The 17,497-nt window shown below is 44.9% G+C and overlaps 1 protein-coding gene across 4 annotated transcripts in view, besides 1 other annotated feature; it reads right to left on the bottom strand.

The window, feature by feature from the left end:
* EYA2 (EYA transcriptional coactivator and phosphatase 2) overlaps positions 1-17,497 on the bottom strand; it is a 294,002-nt gene that overhangs the window by 264,340 nt on the left and 12,165 nt on the right. The gene's annotated exons all lie outside the window — the stretch shown is intronic.
* Positions 4,351-4,878: an enhancer, noted in NCBI's record as "NANOG hESC enhancer chr20:45548266-45548793 (GRCh37/hg19 assembly coordinates)". NCBI's record gives its function as "activates a minimal SCP1, AML or CMV promoter by ChIP-STARR-seq in naive and primed H9 embryonic stem cells {active_cell/tissue: H9 hESC(naive and primed)}" and the evidence as "EXISTENCE:reporter gene assay evidence [ECO:0000049][PMID:30033119]".

Below are 17,497 nucleotides of genomic sequence, written 5' to 3'. Positions count from 1 at the left end.
TACAGATGGGTTTTCACCGTGTTAGCCAGGATGGTCTCGATCTCCTGACCTCGCGATCCACCCACCTCGGCCTCCCAAAGTGCTGGGATTACAGGCGTGAGCCAGCGTGCCCGGCCTACACTTGGGGCCTTTCTGAATGATAGTGTTAAGAAAGCAGGGACCACAGACGGGAAAGTGTCACCTTGACCCAAACATTTTAAACTTGAGAGGAGTTTCCAGCTGCAGTGGCTGAAACTTTAGTCCTTCCCAGCCTCTGCCATCTCCATGTGCCACCCATACCGTGCACTGTCACCACCTTAATATTTTCTTTGAATTGACTCACTTCCTAAAACAAGTTAAAAATAAACTTAAATTAATATACCTAAAAAGGAACTTTTAAAAATCACAAATATAAATCACTGTCAAAAAATAGAAGATAACTAGAAAAATTAATATGAGGAATCCCCCATGAAAGATAGATCTTTCTAGAGGCCACTGCTTGCCTGATGACTCTCTTTGTTATACAAAGAGAATTAGCAAGTGTTTGGTGTTAAAAACCAAACCATCCAGCACCAACTTAAGATTCTCTTTTGGGCTTAATTAAAAGAGCTGAAAGTTAGCAAAATGAGATTTAAAAAAAATCACTAAGGCGTTCCATGTTTTGAGAAATACTGTTTTAGTAAACAAGAGTGCAGGTTTTGGAGAGAGGCTGACCTATGTGATGGCAGTACAAAGAATACTCACAGATCTTTTACCCAGATGCATCTGCTGTTAATGTTTCACCCATGTGCTTACCAATTCCCTCTCTCTCTCTCCACACACACACACACACCCAGCACACGTGTATTATTTTTCTTTTGTGCATCATTTCAGAGTTACATGCATAATGGCCTTTTACTCGTAAATATTCCAATGGTATTTCCCAAGAAAAATAACATTCTCTTATAGAATCTCCGGTTTATTACCCACTTCAATCACTTTAACACTGACACAATATTTTAACCAATCCATTCTCCACAGTACAATTTGTCAATTCACCAATAATTTCCTGTATCACATCTCCCCCTCTATCTAGAATCCAGTCTAGAACTGGGTACTGTATTTAGTTGTCCTATCCCTTCAGATTCCTTTGGTCTAGAACATTTCTTTTGTTTGTTTTTTAAGTCAGAGTCTCACTCTGTCACCCAGGCTGGAGTGCAGTGGCACGATCTTGGCTCACTGCAACCTCTGCCTCCCAGGTTCAAGCAATTCTCATGTCTCAGCCTCTGAGTAGCTGGTATTACAGGTGTCTGCCACCACGCCTGGCTAATTTGTATTTTTAGTAGAGACAGGGTTTCACCATGTTGCCCAGGCTGGTTTCAAACTCCTGGCCTCAAGTGATCCGCCCGCCTCAGCCTCCCAAAGTGCTTGGATTACAGGCACTAGCCACCGTGCCCGGCCTCATCTAGAACATTTCTTCAGTCTTTTTCTGTACTTTGCAACATCGGCATTTTTGAAGAAGAAGGTACCTTTTTTTGAAATGGAATGTTCCTCATTCTAGGTTTGTCTGCTCTTTTCTTATTAGATTCGGGTCATGCACCCTCCCAGAATACTGCATGGGTGATGCTGCGTCCTTCTCCGGACATCCTGTCTATCTGCCTCTCAGTGATGACATTGATACAGATCACCAATTTCTGCACTGCATAGTGACTATTATTTTCTCTTAAAATTTATAAGCCATCGTGAAGAGATCACTTAAGACCATGCAAAATGCTACTCCTTATCAACATCCCCACCCCAAATTCAGCATCTATTGATGATGATTCTTGACTGAACCAATCTTTATTATAGTGGTCGCAACATGGTGTGTTTCTTACCCAGCTCTCCCCCACAATTCTAGCTGGTCCTCGGCATTCGACTGTAAGCACAAAACCTCCCTCCTCCCTATTTACTTATTTACCTATTTATTAGTGGTATATATTCATAGGTTTGTATTTTTTCAATGGTTTATAATTCACTATTTGATGCTCTAATTGTCTCAGATGGAAGCCTGCTGTTGTTACATTTCAAAATTCACTGTTTACTTGAATATGAAACAATCGGTGCCCCTAGTAAAACATTTTGGAATGTACAGTAGAGTATACACAGTAAAAAACTAAGAATCTCCTTTTCCCCATTTCCTTTCCCCTGGGTAACTACAGTTAACTATTTCCTCTCTTATCTACCAGAGATTTTCTAGGCACCTAAAATTACCATTAGTGTAACTCTTCTGATTACTCTGTGATGTAGTTAAGAGTTTTCTCTGACCTTGCTTGGGTTGTTCATTAAATCAATTAGCACTCCTGTCCTCCGGGGTGATGATGTCCTGGGTATTAAAAACTGTTCTCCAAACTGAAAGCTGGTGAGGATGCTCCAAGTGGAAAATGCACTAGAACAGGTGTTAGGAAACGCAGGTTCCAGCCTCAACTTGCTTCCCTTCTCTTCTGTGCCTCAAATCCCTCTTCACTGAAATTAGGCCAGTGCTGTGTCTAGTAGACATGAGTCTGATTGCTATGAAAACACTTACAAGAGGGTTTCATACATGAAAGGGAGTTTTACTGTGATCAGAGGAAGCAGGGCAACTTAGTAAATGCAAAACCACCTGTATTAGTTTATAGCAATTGGGAGAAGACTCCATTCAAACTTCTTTAAGTAAAAAAGAAATAATGTATTGGCTAATATAAGGGAATAACACATGGTATCTAGCTTCAGGAACAGCTGGATCCAGGTGCTCAAATGAGGTCATTGGGAATCTTTTGCCCTCCATATCTTGTCTCTGTCTTCCTTTGAGTTGCCTTTAGTTTCAGGCAGGCTTCCCCTAAGCAAGATGGCTACATTCTATGAGTTTAGCAACCCAGAGAAAAGAGGGCATCATTCCTCAACAATTCCAGCAAAGTTCCCAGAATTGGGCCCCATTCAACCTGGGTCCAGTTCCTGTGCCTGAACCCTGAGGGCAGAGGCATAGCATGTTGTGACTGCCCATGGGGAGGTCACAGGTCTGCACTTAGAACTGGAGAGTGGGGTAATGGCCTGAAGGTGCAGTAGAAACGAGAAAGGAGAAGAAAGAAAAGAAAACCAGGAGATGAATGGATGCCAGCTGGGCAAGATAAGCATCACGTACTGCAGAGGACTACAAATGGACATGAGGAAAATAAATGTGGAGACTGTTTGTAAACTGTAATATACTATGCAAGCCTAAGAGGTTACCCTCCAGCCCTCAACAGGGCCTAGAATCCAGTCCCAAGGAAACATCTGTGCTTGCCTGGTCTCACCTACGAGGCTCCAAGCTCTCTGAGGCGAGGGCCGGCGCATTGCTGGCTCCAAGTCTCCACAGCCCTGTGTCAGCCTCCCCACTGAGAAGGCGCCCCTACTAAGAGCCAGCGGAGGTGTGGGCACAGCTAGAGTTCTGGCAGGGTTAGAGAAATGGCATCTACCCAGCCTCCAAGCCTGGAAGAAGAGACCGCAGGGTCAACAATGGGCAGACTTTCAGAGGTGACACCTCGCTCAACAGGGAGCTATGATTAGCAGTTAGATGAGGGGCATCTGAATTGGTTAAGAAAATGGAAAGGAAAGCTGCATTGTGCTGAAACCAAAAGAGGTGAGCAGAGCCCATGAAGAGATGCCGTACTAACCAAGGCCATCCTGGGTGGCACCAGTTTCTCCCAGAGAGATGATGAGTCCTGAGCTCCCTGGAAAATCAGTAAGGGCAGGCTCTGGCCCTCTGGAGAGGTCCCAGGACACATCCTTGAGATGTGGCTCTGGTTTTTGCATTTGTGTCCCTGGGGCCTGGAATGAGGGAGACACACTGGCCCCACCCCATGAAGGGGAAATGGTGAAGTGACTTGGAAAGAAGTCAGAGGGGAGCTCAGAGATTTCCCCAATGGACCTGATAAGATCTCCAGAGGAGCTTGAAGTTGTCTGATGATTCTCAGACTCTGGGATTCCACCAACTAGAAAATCTCCCTCCCGAAAAAAAGCAATACAAAGAAAAAAACTGGGAGAACCCACAAAAGGAGGCTGCCATTTTGATTTGTCCAGTGAAACATTTAAAAACAAAAAATGAGAAATTTTAGTCATAAAAAGATAACGTGTCACGTCCTCAAAATAGGAAGAAAATAAAAATAACAGACCATTTTTTAAATTGGAACAGTATACGGGCACACCTTGGAGATATCGTGGGCTTGGTTCCAGATCACCGCAATAAAGCAAATACAGGAAGACCTCGTTTTATTGCTTTGCTTTATTGTACTTTGCAGATACTGTTTTTTTTTTTAAACAAATTAAAGTTTTGTGGCAATCCTACATTGAGCAAGTTTATCAGTGTCATTTTCATGTCTCTGTGTCACAGTTTGGTAATTCTCTCAATATTTCAAAGTTTTTTCATTGCTATTATATCTGTTATGGAGATCTGTGATCAGTGATCTTTGATATTATTCATAATTGATTTGGGCACCACAAACTGTGCCCATATAAGATGGTGAACTTAATGTATAAATGTTCCATGTGTTCTGACCTCAACCAACTGTTCCCCTACCTCTCTCCCTCTGCTCAGGCCTCCCCATTCCGTGAAACACAAGAGTACTGAAACTGGGCCAATCCACAATCCAACAATGGCCTCTGAGTGCTCAAGTGAAAGGAAGAGTCGCATGGCTTTCACTTTAAATCAAAAGCTAGAAACGATTAAGCTTAGTGAGGAAGGCATGTCGAAAGCTGAGACAGGATGAAAGCTAGGCCTCTTGCAACAAATGTTTAGCCAAGTTGTGAATGCAAAGGAAAAATTTTTGAAGGAAATTAAAAGTGCTACTCCCGTGAACACACGAGTGATAAGAAAGCAAAACAGTCTTATTGCTGATACAGAGAAAGTCTGAGTGGTCTGGATAGAAGATCAAACCAACCACAACATTCCCATACACCAAAGGCTAATCCAGGGCAAGGCCCTAACTCTCTTCAATTCTATGAAAGCTGAGAGAAATGAGGAAGCTGCAGAAGAAAAGTTTGAAGCTACCAAGAGTTCAGGAGGTTTAAGGAAAGCAGCCATCTTTATAACATAAAAGTGCAAGGCGAAGCAGCAAGTGCTGATGGACAAACTGCAGCAAGTTATCCAGAAGATCTAGCTGGGATCAGTGATGAAGGTGGCTACACTAAGCAATATATTCTTAATGCAGACAAAACAGCATTCGATTGGAAGAAGATCCCATCTAGGGCTTTCATAGCTAGAGAGGAGAAGTCAATGGTTGACTTCACAGCCTCAAACGACAGGCTGAATCTCTTGTTAAGGGCCAATGCAGCTGATAACTTTAAGTTGAAGCCAATGCTCATTTACCATTCTGAAAATCCTAGGACCCTTAAGAATGATGTTAAATCTACTCTGCCTGTGCTCTATGAACAGAATAACATAAAGCCGGGATGACAGCATGTCTGCTTACAGCATGGTTTGCTGAACATTTTAGGCTCACTGTTGAGACCTGCTGCTCAGATAAAAAGGTTTCTTTTAAAATAATACTGCTCACAACAGTCCACGTGGTCACCCAAGAGCTCTCATGGAGATATACAAGGAGATAAATGTTGTCTTCACGCCCACTAACACAGCATCCATTCTGCAGCCCATGGATCAAGGAGTAATTTTGACTTTCAAATTTTATTATTTAAGAAATGCATTTCATAAGGCCATAGCTGTCATAGGTCATGATTCCTCTGATAGATTTGGGCAAAGTAAATTGAAAACCTTCTAGAAAAGATTCACCATTCTAAGATGCCATTAGGGACATTCGTGATTCACAGGAGGAGGTAAAAATATCAATATTAGCAGGAGTTTGGAAGAAGTTGATTCTGGCCCTCATCAATGACTTTGAGAGGTTCAAGATTTCAGTGGAGGAAGTCACTGCGGATGTGGTGGAAATAGGCCAGGTGCTGGTGGCTCACGTCTGTATCCCAGCACTTTGGGAGGCCAAGGTGGATGGATCGCCTGAGTGCGGGAGTTCGAGACCACTCTGGGTAACCTGGTGAAACCCGTCTCTACTAAACTAAAAAAAATAGCCGGGCGTGGTGACATGTGCCTGTAGTCCCAGTTACTCGGGAGGCTGAGGCATGAGAATTGCTTGAGCCCCAGAGGTAGAGGTTGCAGTGAGCCGAGATCGTGCCATTGCACATCAGCTTGGGCTACAGAGTGAGATTTGTTTTGTTTTTTGAGACGGAGTCTTGCTCTGTCGCCCAGGCTGGAGTGCACTGGCGCGATCTCGGCTCACTGCAAGCTCCGCCTCCTGGGTTCACGCCATTCTCCTGCCTCAGCCTCCTGAGTAGCTGGGACTACAGGCACCTGCCACCACGCCCGGCTAATTTTTTGTATTTTTTAGTAGAGATGGGGATTCAGCGTGTTAGCCAGGATGGTCTCGATCTCCTGACCTCAGGATCCGCCCACCTCGGCTTCCCAAAGTGCTGGGATTGTGGGCGTGAGCCACCACGCCCAGCCGAGAACTGACTCTAATTTTGAAAGATGTTCTGCTTTGGGTAAAATGCTATAAAACAGCATTGCATGCTACAGAGAAATGTTTCATAAAAGGAAGAGAATGGATTCATCAATGCAGCAAACTTCATGTTTGTCTTATTTTAAGAGATTGCCACAGCCACCCCAGCCTTCAGCAACCACCGCCCTGATCAGTGAGCAGCCTTCAACAATGGGGCAAGACCCTCCACCAGCAAAAAGACTACAACTCGCTAAAGGCTCAGACGATCATTAGCGTTTTTTAGCAATGAAGTATTTTTAAGTTAAGGTACATACATTCTTTTAGACATAATAATATTGCACACTTAGTGGCCTATGTACAGTAATAGTGTAAACATAACTTTCATACATACTGGGAAACCAAAAAATTCACGTGACTTGCTTTACTGCGATATTGGCTTTATTGTGGCGTTCTGGAACCAACCCCGCAGCATCTCCAAGGAATGCCTGTAGCTTTATGAAACTCTTCACATCCACTTCGCTTTCCTCATTTTGCAATGGGCCAGTGGTCATAGTCTGTCTGACCTGAGTCCCACGTATTGGTGTTTGGCAAAAAGGTTTGTGCAGCCTGAGAGTCATGCGTTCAAATCTTCGTTTTGCCATATCCTAGTTGCCAAATCTTAAGCAAGTCACTCTGACCCTCAGTTTCCTCATCTATAAAATGGGGACAGTAATTCCCCTCTTGGCAGGGAGTCTGTGCATGCATTCGCTGCTATTTCCTGAGCACTTCCTGCGTGCCTGGCACTCTGCTAGATGCTGGAAAGGCAACCTTGAAATGACATAAACAGTCCTAGTTGAAAAGAGACAAAATTATGCAAAAGCATATACGATTAAGTATTTAACAAGTTTAAGTGCTTTGAGGAAGTACAAGATGTTAGGAAGATTTTGACTCGGGGGGAGGCTGCCCACCTGACCACTCCTGCACATGGTAAGGATCAATTATTTGTGATTTTCTCACCTCCACAAACTATATCATTTAACATATTTTTTCTTTAAATGAACTCTTTTTCCTCCTTAAATAAACTGAGCCTTGTTCTAAGAAATACTACTAATTTATGTATTTTATAGGTTATCTCTCTATATATTTTTCCTAACAGAACCAAAATGAACACATCAGTAAATAAGGAAGGGTCCAAAGCTCACTTCGAACAGTAGAGAGATAATCTTCATATGAATGTCTGGCACACAGCAGGCCTCAAAGTGTGAGCCCCCTCTCTTCTGGCCATCTGCTCTGGGAAGAAAGTGAGCATCATTTGTAAAGCCTAGCACCCCGAGCTCTCCCCTCCAAAAGCCCCCCACTATATCCCAGAAGAAAGGAAAGTCAACCTTAACCTCAATCTCAACCCAGCTCACTGACGTGGCATTAGAGTTAAAACCAACTTGGCTTTGCACCTTGGCTTAAATGTATGGTAAAGCCCAGAAGTGCCAGTCCCAGAGCCAAAGAAAAACACTTTTGTCCAATTCTACTTGGTGCAAAGTCTATAAATCAAGAACCCATCACACATGCACACACACATAATACCTTCATACTCAGATACACACACACACAAACTCACACACTTAAGCACCTACACATATTCACACAGACTCTGACACACTCACCCACATTCATATACTCACACACAGCATACTTGTCCATGCACACCCACACACACTGCACAATACATTCACATATTCACATACACCCTTTCTCGAGCAGTTAAAGACCATTTCAACTTTTAAAAACTTCTTAATTTGGTTTAATAGCATTTCAAGTTTCACAGGAGGGGGGCAGATGTAGGTCAAATAAGTTTAATGCTGCCTTAAAAAAATAAGTGGAAACTATGGCCTTGGCACGCAGGGATGGCAAGTGTAACACTGGCAGAGAAGGGGAAGGTAACCTCAGAGAGTGAAGGGGCCAGCGATTTTCAACACTGACGTATTCTCTTTGCATATGAAATTCATAGAAATTTTTTGCTCTGCCACAAAGCAATCATGCTATGTACTATTAATGTTTAAACAAGTGGTCATTTCGGTTGATCTTTTGTTTCCTTCTTTTTGATAGAGACACAGTTTCAAGAAATACTTCACTTTTCTCTTAACTGCACCCCTATAGAACTGGGAGGGAAAGCGCCATGATGACAAGTGACATTGAGCCCCCAGGTCCGGGGGTACTAGAGGGAGGGGCGGGGACTGTGGTGAACTGATGAAGACATGCTCTGGCTAAAGGGAGTGGCCATGACTGAGACCCTCAATTGTCACCATGCAGGAATGCACAGCTCATTTGGCAGATCTCCCAATGGCCCCAGAGAAGCCAGAAATCTGGGTTTTTATATGGAATCTCCTAATTTTTAAATGCCGGCAACTCATTCAAATCAAAACAATCTCAGGCCAAAGAAAGCACATCTGTAGGGTAGAGGTGGCTGCAGCCTGCCCATTTGTGACCTCTGATGAAGAAGGAAGAAAGTGGGCCTGGAATCAAGAGATCTGGGGGTATCACCAAGGCTCTGAGACCAACTTCCCATGTGGGGCTCCTCCTTGGCCTGTCTGAGCCTCAGTTTCCCCACCTGTATAATGCAAAGGCTGGCCTAGATAACATCCACGTTCTGCCACCCAGGCCTCTCTGAAAAGCACTAAGTGGAAAGAATGGCGTATCCAGGCCATGAGAGGGGCATAATTTGACACCGTTTCAAAAACTGGGAATTCAACGAGAAATGTTTCTCTTCCCCGGCTGAGGTTTTTGGAGGCAGTGGGCGTGTTTTTTAAAAAAACACAACACACCAAGTCAGGAATTTCATCAGGAAAAAACGTGGCAGCCCCGAATGGGCTCACATCTGGGGATTTGCTTGTTGCGAGTACACACTGTTCTGCCTGCCACAGGCAACAGCTCGAAGCTAGAGACACTGCTATGAGGCTGATGTGGCTCCTTTGGGAGATGGGGAGCAGTAATTGCCCCAGACTGGCCTCCTGGTGAACACAGCAGAAACACGGACAGAGGCCTCCCATCTCCGGTAGAGAAAAGAAAAGGCCAAACTGCAAAGCTCTCAAGCACGATGTCCCACGCACGGCCCCCTGTCCCCATACTCCAGCTTTGAAGGCAGGTCAGCTTTTGCCTAAAACTGAACCCAACTTTCTAATTCCCTCTCTCAAACAATCATGGTCATGATTCCCTCTGTGTGCTGAGTGTGACGATGGGGCTGGCACAGTGCTAAGTGCCTCAGCCCATTATCTCCTTGAATCTGAGAGAGGAACTCTTCTTACTCCCTGATACGGTTTGGCTGCGTCCCCACCCAAATCTCATCTTGAATTATAGTTCCCATAATCCCCACGTGTCGTGGGAGGGACTAGGTGGAGATAATTGAATCACGGGGGTGGTTTCTCCCATCCTAGTCTCACAATAGTGAGTTAGTTCTCACAAGATTTGATGGTTTTATAAGAGGCTTCCCCCTTTCCTGGGCACTGATTCTCCTCCTTCCGGCCACCATATGAAGAAGGATGTGTTTGCTTCCCCTTCCGCCATGATTGTAAGTTTTCTGAGGCCTCCCCAGACATGCTGACCTGTGAGCCAATGAAACCTCTTTCCTTTATAAATTACCCAGTTGGGTATGTCTTTATTGGCAGTGTGAGAATGGAGTAATACACACCCACTCCACAGATGAGAAAACTGAGGCTCCCATGGAGAAGCCATCAAGCGGTAGAATCTGGATTTAAGCCTGTGTCCACAGAAAAATCAAAGCCTTTATGCCACTGACTCCTATTTTTTTAAGTGTGAGTTCTACTGTGGAATATTCATCTTCATGAGGTTAATCCAACAAATTTGTCAGGGAAAAATGTGGGTGACAGATCCACTGAGCAGACCTGATGTGTGTCCAGCGTTAACCGCTGGACAGCTCTTTAGGAACGAGGGAGAGGTCTCGGCTCCTAGGTGGTTTCTTCTGCAGAGTTCTCCTGTTGTCATTTCCTCAAAACGAAGAGGAGGAACGGGACTGAGAAAGCCAAGAAAACACAGTAGGACAGCAGAGTGGTAAAGGGGTGGGAGGCCTGGCCTGGCCATGTACCAGCAGGGCCACCTTGGGCATGCTGATTAACCTCAACTCTCTGTCACATCCTTTCCAAAATGGGCGTGATAAAATGGACAGAAGGAGATGATCATATATTCAAACACCTGGCTCAATGCCAGGTCCACACGAGGTGCTCCCATCTCCTTTCCCAACCTGCTCCTCCCTCCACTGTCCCCATTTCAGCAAAGGGCAGCTCCATCCTCCCAAATGCCCAGCCCAGAGGCCTTGGAGTCACCTTGGACTCCTCTCTTCATATCCCTTCCCAGAGCCAATCCCTCAGCAAATTCTATCGGCTCTATCTTAAAAGCATATCTAGAATCCAACTCTTCTCCCTGATCCTACTGCCACCACCCTGGTCCAAGTCACCGTCACCTCCCTGTCTGAACAGTCTCTTAACGGTTTTCCTGCCCCACCCTCTGACCCCTGCAGTCTGTTCTCTTGGCAGCCAGAGGAGTTCTGCTCTACTTAAGGCAGATCATGTCCTTCCTCTGCTCAGATCCCATTCCTCCAGGGACTCCCACCTCACTCAGCTTAGAAGTCAAAAATCTGACCCTGGCCTCAAACACCCTACATTATCTGCCCCTGGCTACTTCCCTAACTACATCTCCTGCCCCTCTCCTCTCACTCAGCTCCAGCCACAATGAACTCCTGGTCATTCCTGAACACACCAGGCACAACCCCACTCAGAGCTTCTGTGTGGGCTCTTCTGCCAGATAGTTTCAGGGAGGCCTTGCCTGCCAGTGATGTGCTGCAGCCAGCCTGTACCAGCCTGCAAGAAACAATTGTTAAATGTGCATGAATGTTGTGAACTCCTTGTTAAAATCACTGTTGGGCTGTAAGTGACCATGGTGGGAGTATTTACACCACTGTAAGTGGCAGAGGCTACAAATCAGGACCTTTAATTTCCAGAGAACCAGTTTACCAGCATGCCATCACAGTGGCCACCCTATTTAAAATTAAAATTAAGGCCGGGCGCGGTGGCTCACGCCTGTAATCCCAGCACTTTGGGAGGCCGAGGCGGGTGGATCATGAGGTCAGGAGATCGAGACCATCCTGGCTAACAAGGTGAAACCCCGTCTCTACTAAAAATACAAAAAATTAGCCGGGCGCGGTGGCGGGCGCCTGTAGTCCCAGCTACTCGGGAGGCTGAGGCAGGAGAATGGCGTGAACCCGGGAAGCGGAGCTTGCAGTGAGCCGAGATTGCGCCACTGCAGTCCGCAGTCCGGCCTGGGCGACAGAGCGAGACTCCGTCTCAAAAAAAAAGAAAAAAAAAAAAAATTAAAAATTCCTCTTCCCTGTTCTACCTCAATGTTTCCCATCAACCTCCCTCCCCTCTACTTACTTTTTCCCCATAGCAATGCCAAGACTGTCTTACTATTTGCTTTTTTATTGTCTATCTTCTTTCCCCCCTAAACAAAAGCTCCATGAGGGCAAGGACTTGTCAGTTTTGTACATAGCTGCTTGCCAAGTGCCTGGAACAGTGGCTGCCTCATAGAAGTGTTCAATAAATATGTGTTGAATGGATGAATGGCAGCTGTTACAGTTATCATGGGAAACCTTCACATGGATGGTATTTCAGACACTCGACAGGATTTGTAACACTAGGGGAAGGCCAAAAAGAAAAAAAAGTCTCACCTCGTACACAGTACTAGCCTAGGGAAAAATGAGATTCCTCCCTGAATATCCATGCCTTTGAGTTTCCATGGTAGACCACGGTTAGCAGTTGCGAACATGTAGTAGGCAACATTTTGAAACTCACTAAGCCTCAGCTCACAGAACCAGAGCTGGAGGAGACATAAGAGACATCCAGAGGTCATTTGGTCCTTCTGCTCACTCTCCAACAAGCCCAACCACTGCCCATGCTCCACCTTCTATTTGCAAGATTATTTATTGATACATAACAATTGTATGTATTTATGGGGGGTCCATGTGATATTCTGATACATGCATACAATGTGTGATGATCAAATCAGGGTATTTAGAATATCCGTCACCTCAAACATTTAACATTGCTTTGTGTTGGGAACATTTCAATCTTTTCTTCCAGCTATTTTGATATAGAACATATTGTTGACTACAGTCACCCTACTGTGCTTTTGAACACTAGAACTTTTCTTTCTATGTAGCTGTATGTTTCTACCCATTAGCCAGCTTCTCTTCATCACCCCCACCTTTCCAGCCACTGGGAACCCTCATTCTACTCTTTACCTCCACGAGATCGAGTTTTCCAGTTCCCACACACAAGTGGGAACATGAGATATTTGTGTTTCTGCATCTGGCTTATTTCACTTAACATAATGTCCTCCAGTTCCATCCATGCTACTTTCAAACTTTTTGCAAGTAGCATCCACCATGGCCTCACTCAGCTAAGAGTTAAGAAATTCTCCAAAGACTCTTTAAAATAGTTTAACCTCTCATTCAACACTGAATTCCTTCTATAACATCTCAAACAGGCAGTCATAAACAGCCTCAATGGTTGGCAAGTCCACTTAGGACTAAATCAAAAATCAGCCAACTCATAACCTCTACTGCCAATGCTGAGCCTGCCCGGGTGCCATGCAGAAGAACAGCTTTCCTCACTTATGGTAACTCTTTGTACCAACCTGGTGGTGAGCGCCTGGAGCACAGGGACCTATTTACTTCTAGATGGTGCATGATGTCCACATGGACATATTAAATGCCATCCTAGAGTATACAGAGTGGACACACACACACACACACACACACACACACAAATTATCCAGCTCCAAATCTTAATAGTGCCAAAGTTGAGAAACCCTGTGTTACCTGAAGACAGATGCTTTCTCTTTTTTGTAAATACCAAGGACCACCTTGGTTTACACTTCATTTTCATACTTCTAATGGAGATCTAGATATAGGAAAGATTTCTTTTCTGTCTTAAATCTACTCTAGGAGAGCCAACAGCATGGTCCCAACGGTAAATGGTAACTAACCTGAACCTCGGTGTTGGAGAGACTATAGGGAAAGGTGAGGACTTGGGTGAACTAACTTATCCACCTAAAAGGGACAGACAGTTCCCAGCCCCAGTCAACTGCGGTAATGTGGAAATGTGGGCACAGTGTTGACAGATCTTGTGATGTTTTGATGGGAGCCAGCAATCTACATTTTTGTGTGAAAGATCCAGATCTTCAAAGTTGGCTCCATTCTATTTTTTAAATGATCTGCAGACCAAACAAAACACATCTTGATTGCCAGTGTGCAACCTCTGTGTGTACCCGATGTTACTGCCATGCCCCTAGATGGAGCATGAGAAAGTTCAATACAGGCAGCAACGGGAGCAAAAGCTCAGAGCAGAAAAAGAAATCCAGGCTGACCATCAGGGGCCTGGGAATGCGTGCATTGCCAGGGTAACCCTTCTACTCCTAGTGATCCTGATTCATCTCTCACTTATCCTCTGAAGCCCAGCGCATGTCCTATGCTTGGCTGGAGTGCCTCAACTTTTGTACCAGAGACCATGAAAAGAGATGATAAGATGGTTTGGATGCGTGTCCACACCCAAGTCTCATGTTGAAATGGAATCTCCAGTGTTGTAGGTGGGGTCTGGTAGGAGGTGATTGGATCAAGGGGGATTGGATTTTCCCCTTTGGTGCTGTTCTTGTGACAGAGTTCTCATAAGACCTGGTTGTTTACAACAGTGTGGCACCTCCCGCCTCTTTCTCTCTTCCTCTTGCTCCACCATGTAAGTCGTGCCTGCTTCCTCTTCGTCTCCCACCATGATTGTAAGTTTCCTAAGGCCTCCCCAGAAGCTGAGCAGATGCCAGTAACATGCTTCCTGTACAGCCTGTGGAACTGTGAGCCAATTAAAACTCTTTTCTTTGCAAATTACCCAGTCTCAGGTATTTCTTTATAGCAGTGCAAGAACAGACAAATACAGATGACCCACCCTTAAGATGAACATCCTTACTTGAAATAAGTAAGACAAACACCCTTACTTGAAATAAAAGATAATCTTCCAGGCCCATGGGGAAGAGCATGTGGAGGGCAGAATAGTAGCAGGTCTTAAAAATACTGACCTAGTAAGAATGTTTGAGGAGAAAAGTAAAACATGCACACAAAGAGTATAACATCGTGCCTGGAAAAAGCACAAATTTCATAAGCAGCACTGTAGTCCAGGAGGAGAGGGGTGGAGAAGGCATACCTATAGGTACAATTTTGGGGGATATAAGGAACCAGTCCACCCACACTTCCAGAAAATGCTGCCGATTTCACTTTGGAAATCTACCTTTCTCTCACTCCATCCACAGCTCCACAGGTGGCACAGTACAGAATCCTCTTGAACAGAGAGACTGATTAAGAGATGGGCACATGACCTGCATCTGAGCTCTTGAACCAGCTGTACCTGAAACCAGCCCTCCTCGAACTTTTCATTTCCCAAGGCAATACATTTTCTTTTTTCTTAAACCAACTCAGAAGTAAGTTTTTTTGTCACTTACATCTGGAGCAATCTCCACAGCTAAGGCGACCACTGGCTGGGATTTTGCTTAAGCCCAGCTTTGGGGCTGGGGAGGCCGACGATGATTTCAGTATTGTCAATGTAGGCATCTCAGGTCTTAAAAAGCTCCTGGAGCTTTCCTTACTGCCTCCCACCTGCACCCCCATTGAATTACTCAACTTTCCAATCTCCTCTTGTAAAAGGCTTCAGAACCCACTTTCCCCCTTTTGTCTGTAGCCATTGGAAACTATCACCCCACTCCTTGCAATGGGAACAACATAAAAAGTTCTTTGCCATTCTAAACAGTGGCTGACAACCATTTATGAGACCTGCAAACATTTCACCACTCTTAAATCAACCCCAGATGACATAATAATCATCATCAAGAAACTAATGAAAACCCGAAGGAGGATAGATTTGGACCATCTTGCCTTTCCCCATGATGAGCGGAGATCAGGAAAAACTCCTGAGAAAGACATAATAATGAAGCAAGCTGATTGCTCCTTGGAAGAAGTCTCAGCCTCATCCCCATGAGATTCAAGTCCTACTTTTTCCTGGAAACAATTTTTAGCATCTCTTGGCATCCTTTCTGGTCAGGAATTGGTAAAAAAAAAAAAAAAAAAAAAAAAAAAAAAAAAAAAAGTGCGGGAGAGAGGCTTAGTGCCTTTTCACTGAAATTTGATTCCCAGGGTCTGTGTCGATGTTTGGGAGAGGGATCGTACACTATGAGCCTGGAGGTATATTTCTGGTGGTTCCTCATAGTGATTTTAAAAGCGGGACATTTCTCTTAAAAATTCAGATTTTGAAAAATCAGAACACCTAGCAACACGGAGACCATTCCTGAATGGCACCGGGTGGAGTCCCTGCTATTAGCATACCTACTCCACTAATTCTTACCTGTTTGGGTTCTCTGGGTATCTGCGGTTGCAGTCATTGATTTCAGATTTAGGCTCTATGTACTTTGAAAAATCATTTTTAAATTACGATAATTTTGACTCTGGACATGACTGATTGACGCAGAACGGCAGCTGGATTCTGAGCAAGGCCCTACCAGAACTGGCCTCATCTTCCCTGCCCTCCTTGTTCACTGGCTGCTCCCAATTCAGGACTTTTGTCCTTGCTACCGCTTCTTTCTAGAATGTTCTCCTACATTCCTTCAGCGCTGCATTCCTCTCGCCTCCCCTGGGCATGTTCTCGTCAGCTTCTCTTGACCTTTTTTCTCCATGGACTTATCATTTGATATTCTGCGTACCTTATATACATATGTGTTTATTTTCTCTCTCCTACTTAACTGTGGCTCCACAAGGAAGGAGACTTTGGTCATTTTTGTTCTTGACTGCATTCCCCACGTCCAGAGTAGGGCCTGGCACACAGCAGGTGCTCAATACATATTTTTGAATGAATGAATAAATAAGTGCCATTTCCATACTGAAGAGGAAATGGAAGCGGGAGGCACAGTGGAGGAGAATGGTGAATGGAAAACCCAGAAAGTCTGTGCACCTTGCCACTGAAAACCAGGTAGTTGCTTCTAGAGAAAAACACATTTTCCCCAATGTAAAGAAGGGAACAAGAAATAAAATGAAAATCATGAAACTAGAGCCTAGAGCTGATGTCAGAGTTTGCATAGACAGTCGCTCCAGGCACACTTTGTTTGTTTGTTTGTTTGTTTGTTTGTTTTCAGATGGAGTCTCCCTCTGTCACCCAGGCTGGCAGTGGCACCATCTCGGCTCACTGCAACCTCCACCTCCTGGGCTCAAGCAACTCTCCTGCCTCAGCCTCTCCAGTAGCTGGGACTACAGATGCGGGCCACCATACCTGGCTAATTGTTTTATTTTTAGTAGACATGGGATTTCACCATGTTGGCCAGGCTGGTCTCGAACTTCTGACTTCACGCAATCCGCCTGCCTTGGCTTCCCAAAGCGCTGGGGTTACGGGTGTGAGCCACTGCGCCTGGCCTCACGCTTGTTTTTATGTGTTCCTCTCCACCTCTGACCCATGCTACCCAAGATCCCTCACTCGTCTTGAAAGAGGGTGGGGAGTCCCCACTCTGCCACAGACTGGCCATGTGGCCATGGGCAAGACCCTCCCACAGGCTGCTGCTTCCTCACCTGGACAGATTCTAACATCAATGGCTTGTAGGCTGCCTGTTGAGGACTTAGCTCGGTAACTTCTCATGTGGAGACATGGAAAGCCGGTCTCTTTGGCTCAGTCTTAAGGCATCTGGAAAAACCTGAGCTATTTTCCAGCTTGAACCTCACAGCTCAGGCGGTTTTCCCTTCTTTTTCACTCCAAACTATACCAAACTGCATTTGTGCCCTGTAGGAAGATATGATTTCTAGACTTAATTTTTCTTCCACAGGTAATCAATAGCTTTTAACAATCACTGTGTGTGTCTCGTGGTCTTCAATGCATTTGTTATGCAGAGTCCGTTATTTTCATGTCATCAATGGGGAAACTGAGGCTGAGAGAGGTGAAGGAAGCCCAAGGCTAGTAAGTGGTAGACAG

The sequence above is a fragment of the Homo sapiens genome, chromosome 20, assembly GCF_000001405.40.
Source record: "Homo sapiens chromosome 20, GRCh38.p14 Primary Assembly".
In the NCBI taxonomy this organism is placed as follows: Eukaryota; Metazoa; Chordata; class Mammalia; order Primates; family Hominidae; genus Homo; species Homo sapiens.
Note: the sequence above shows the minus strand (reverse complement) of the source record. Positions and strands in the feature narration are given on the sequence as shown.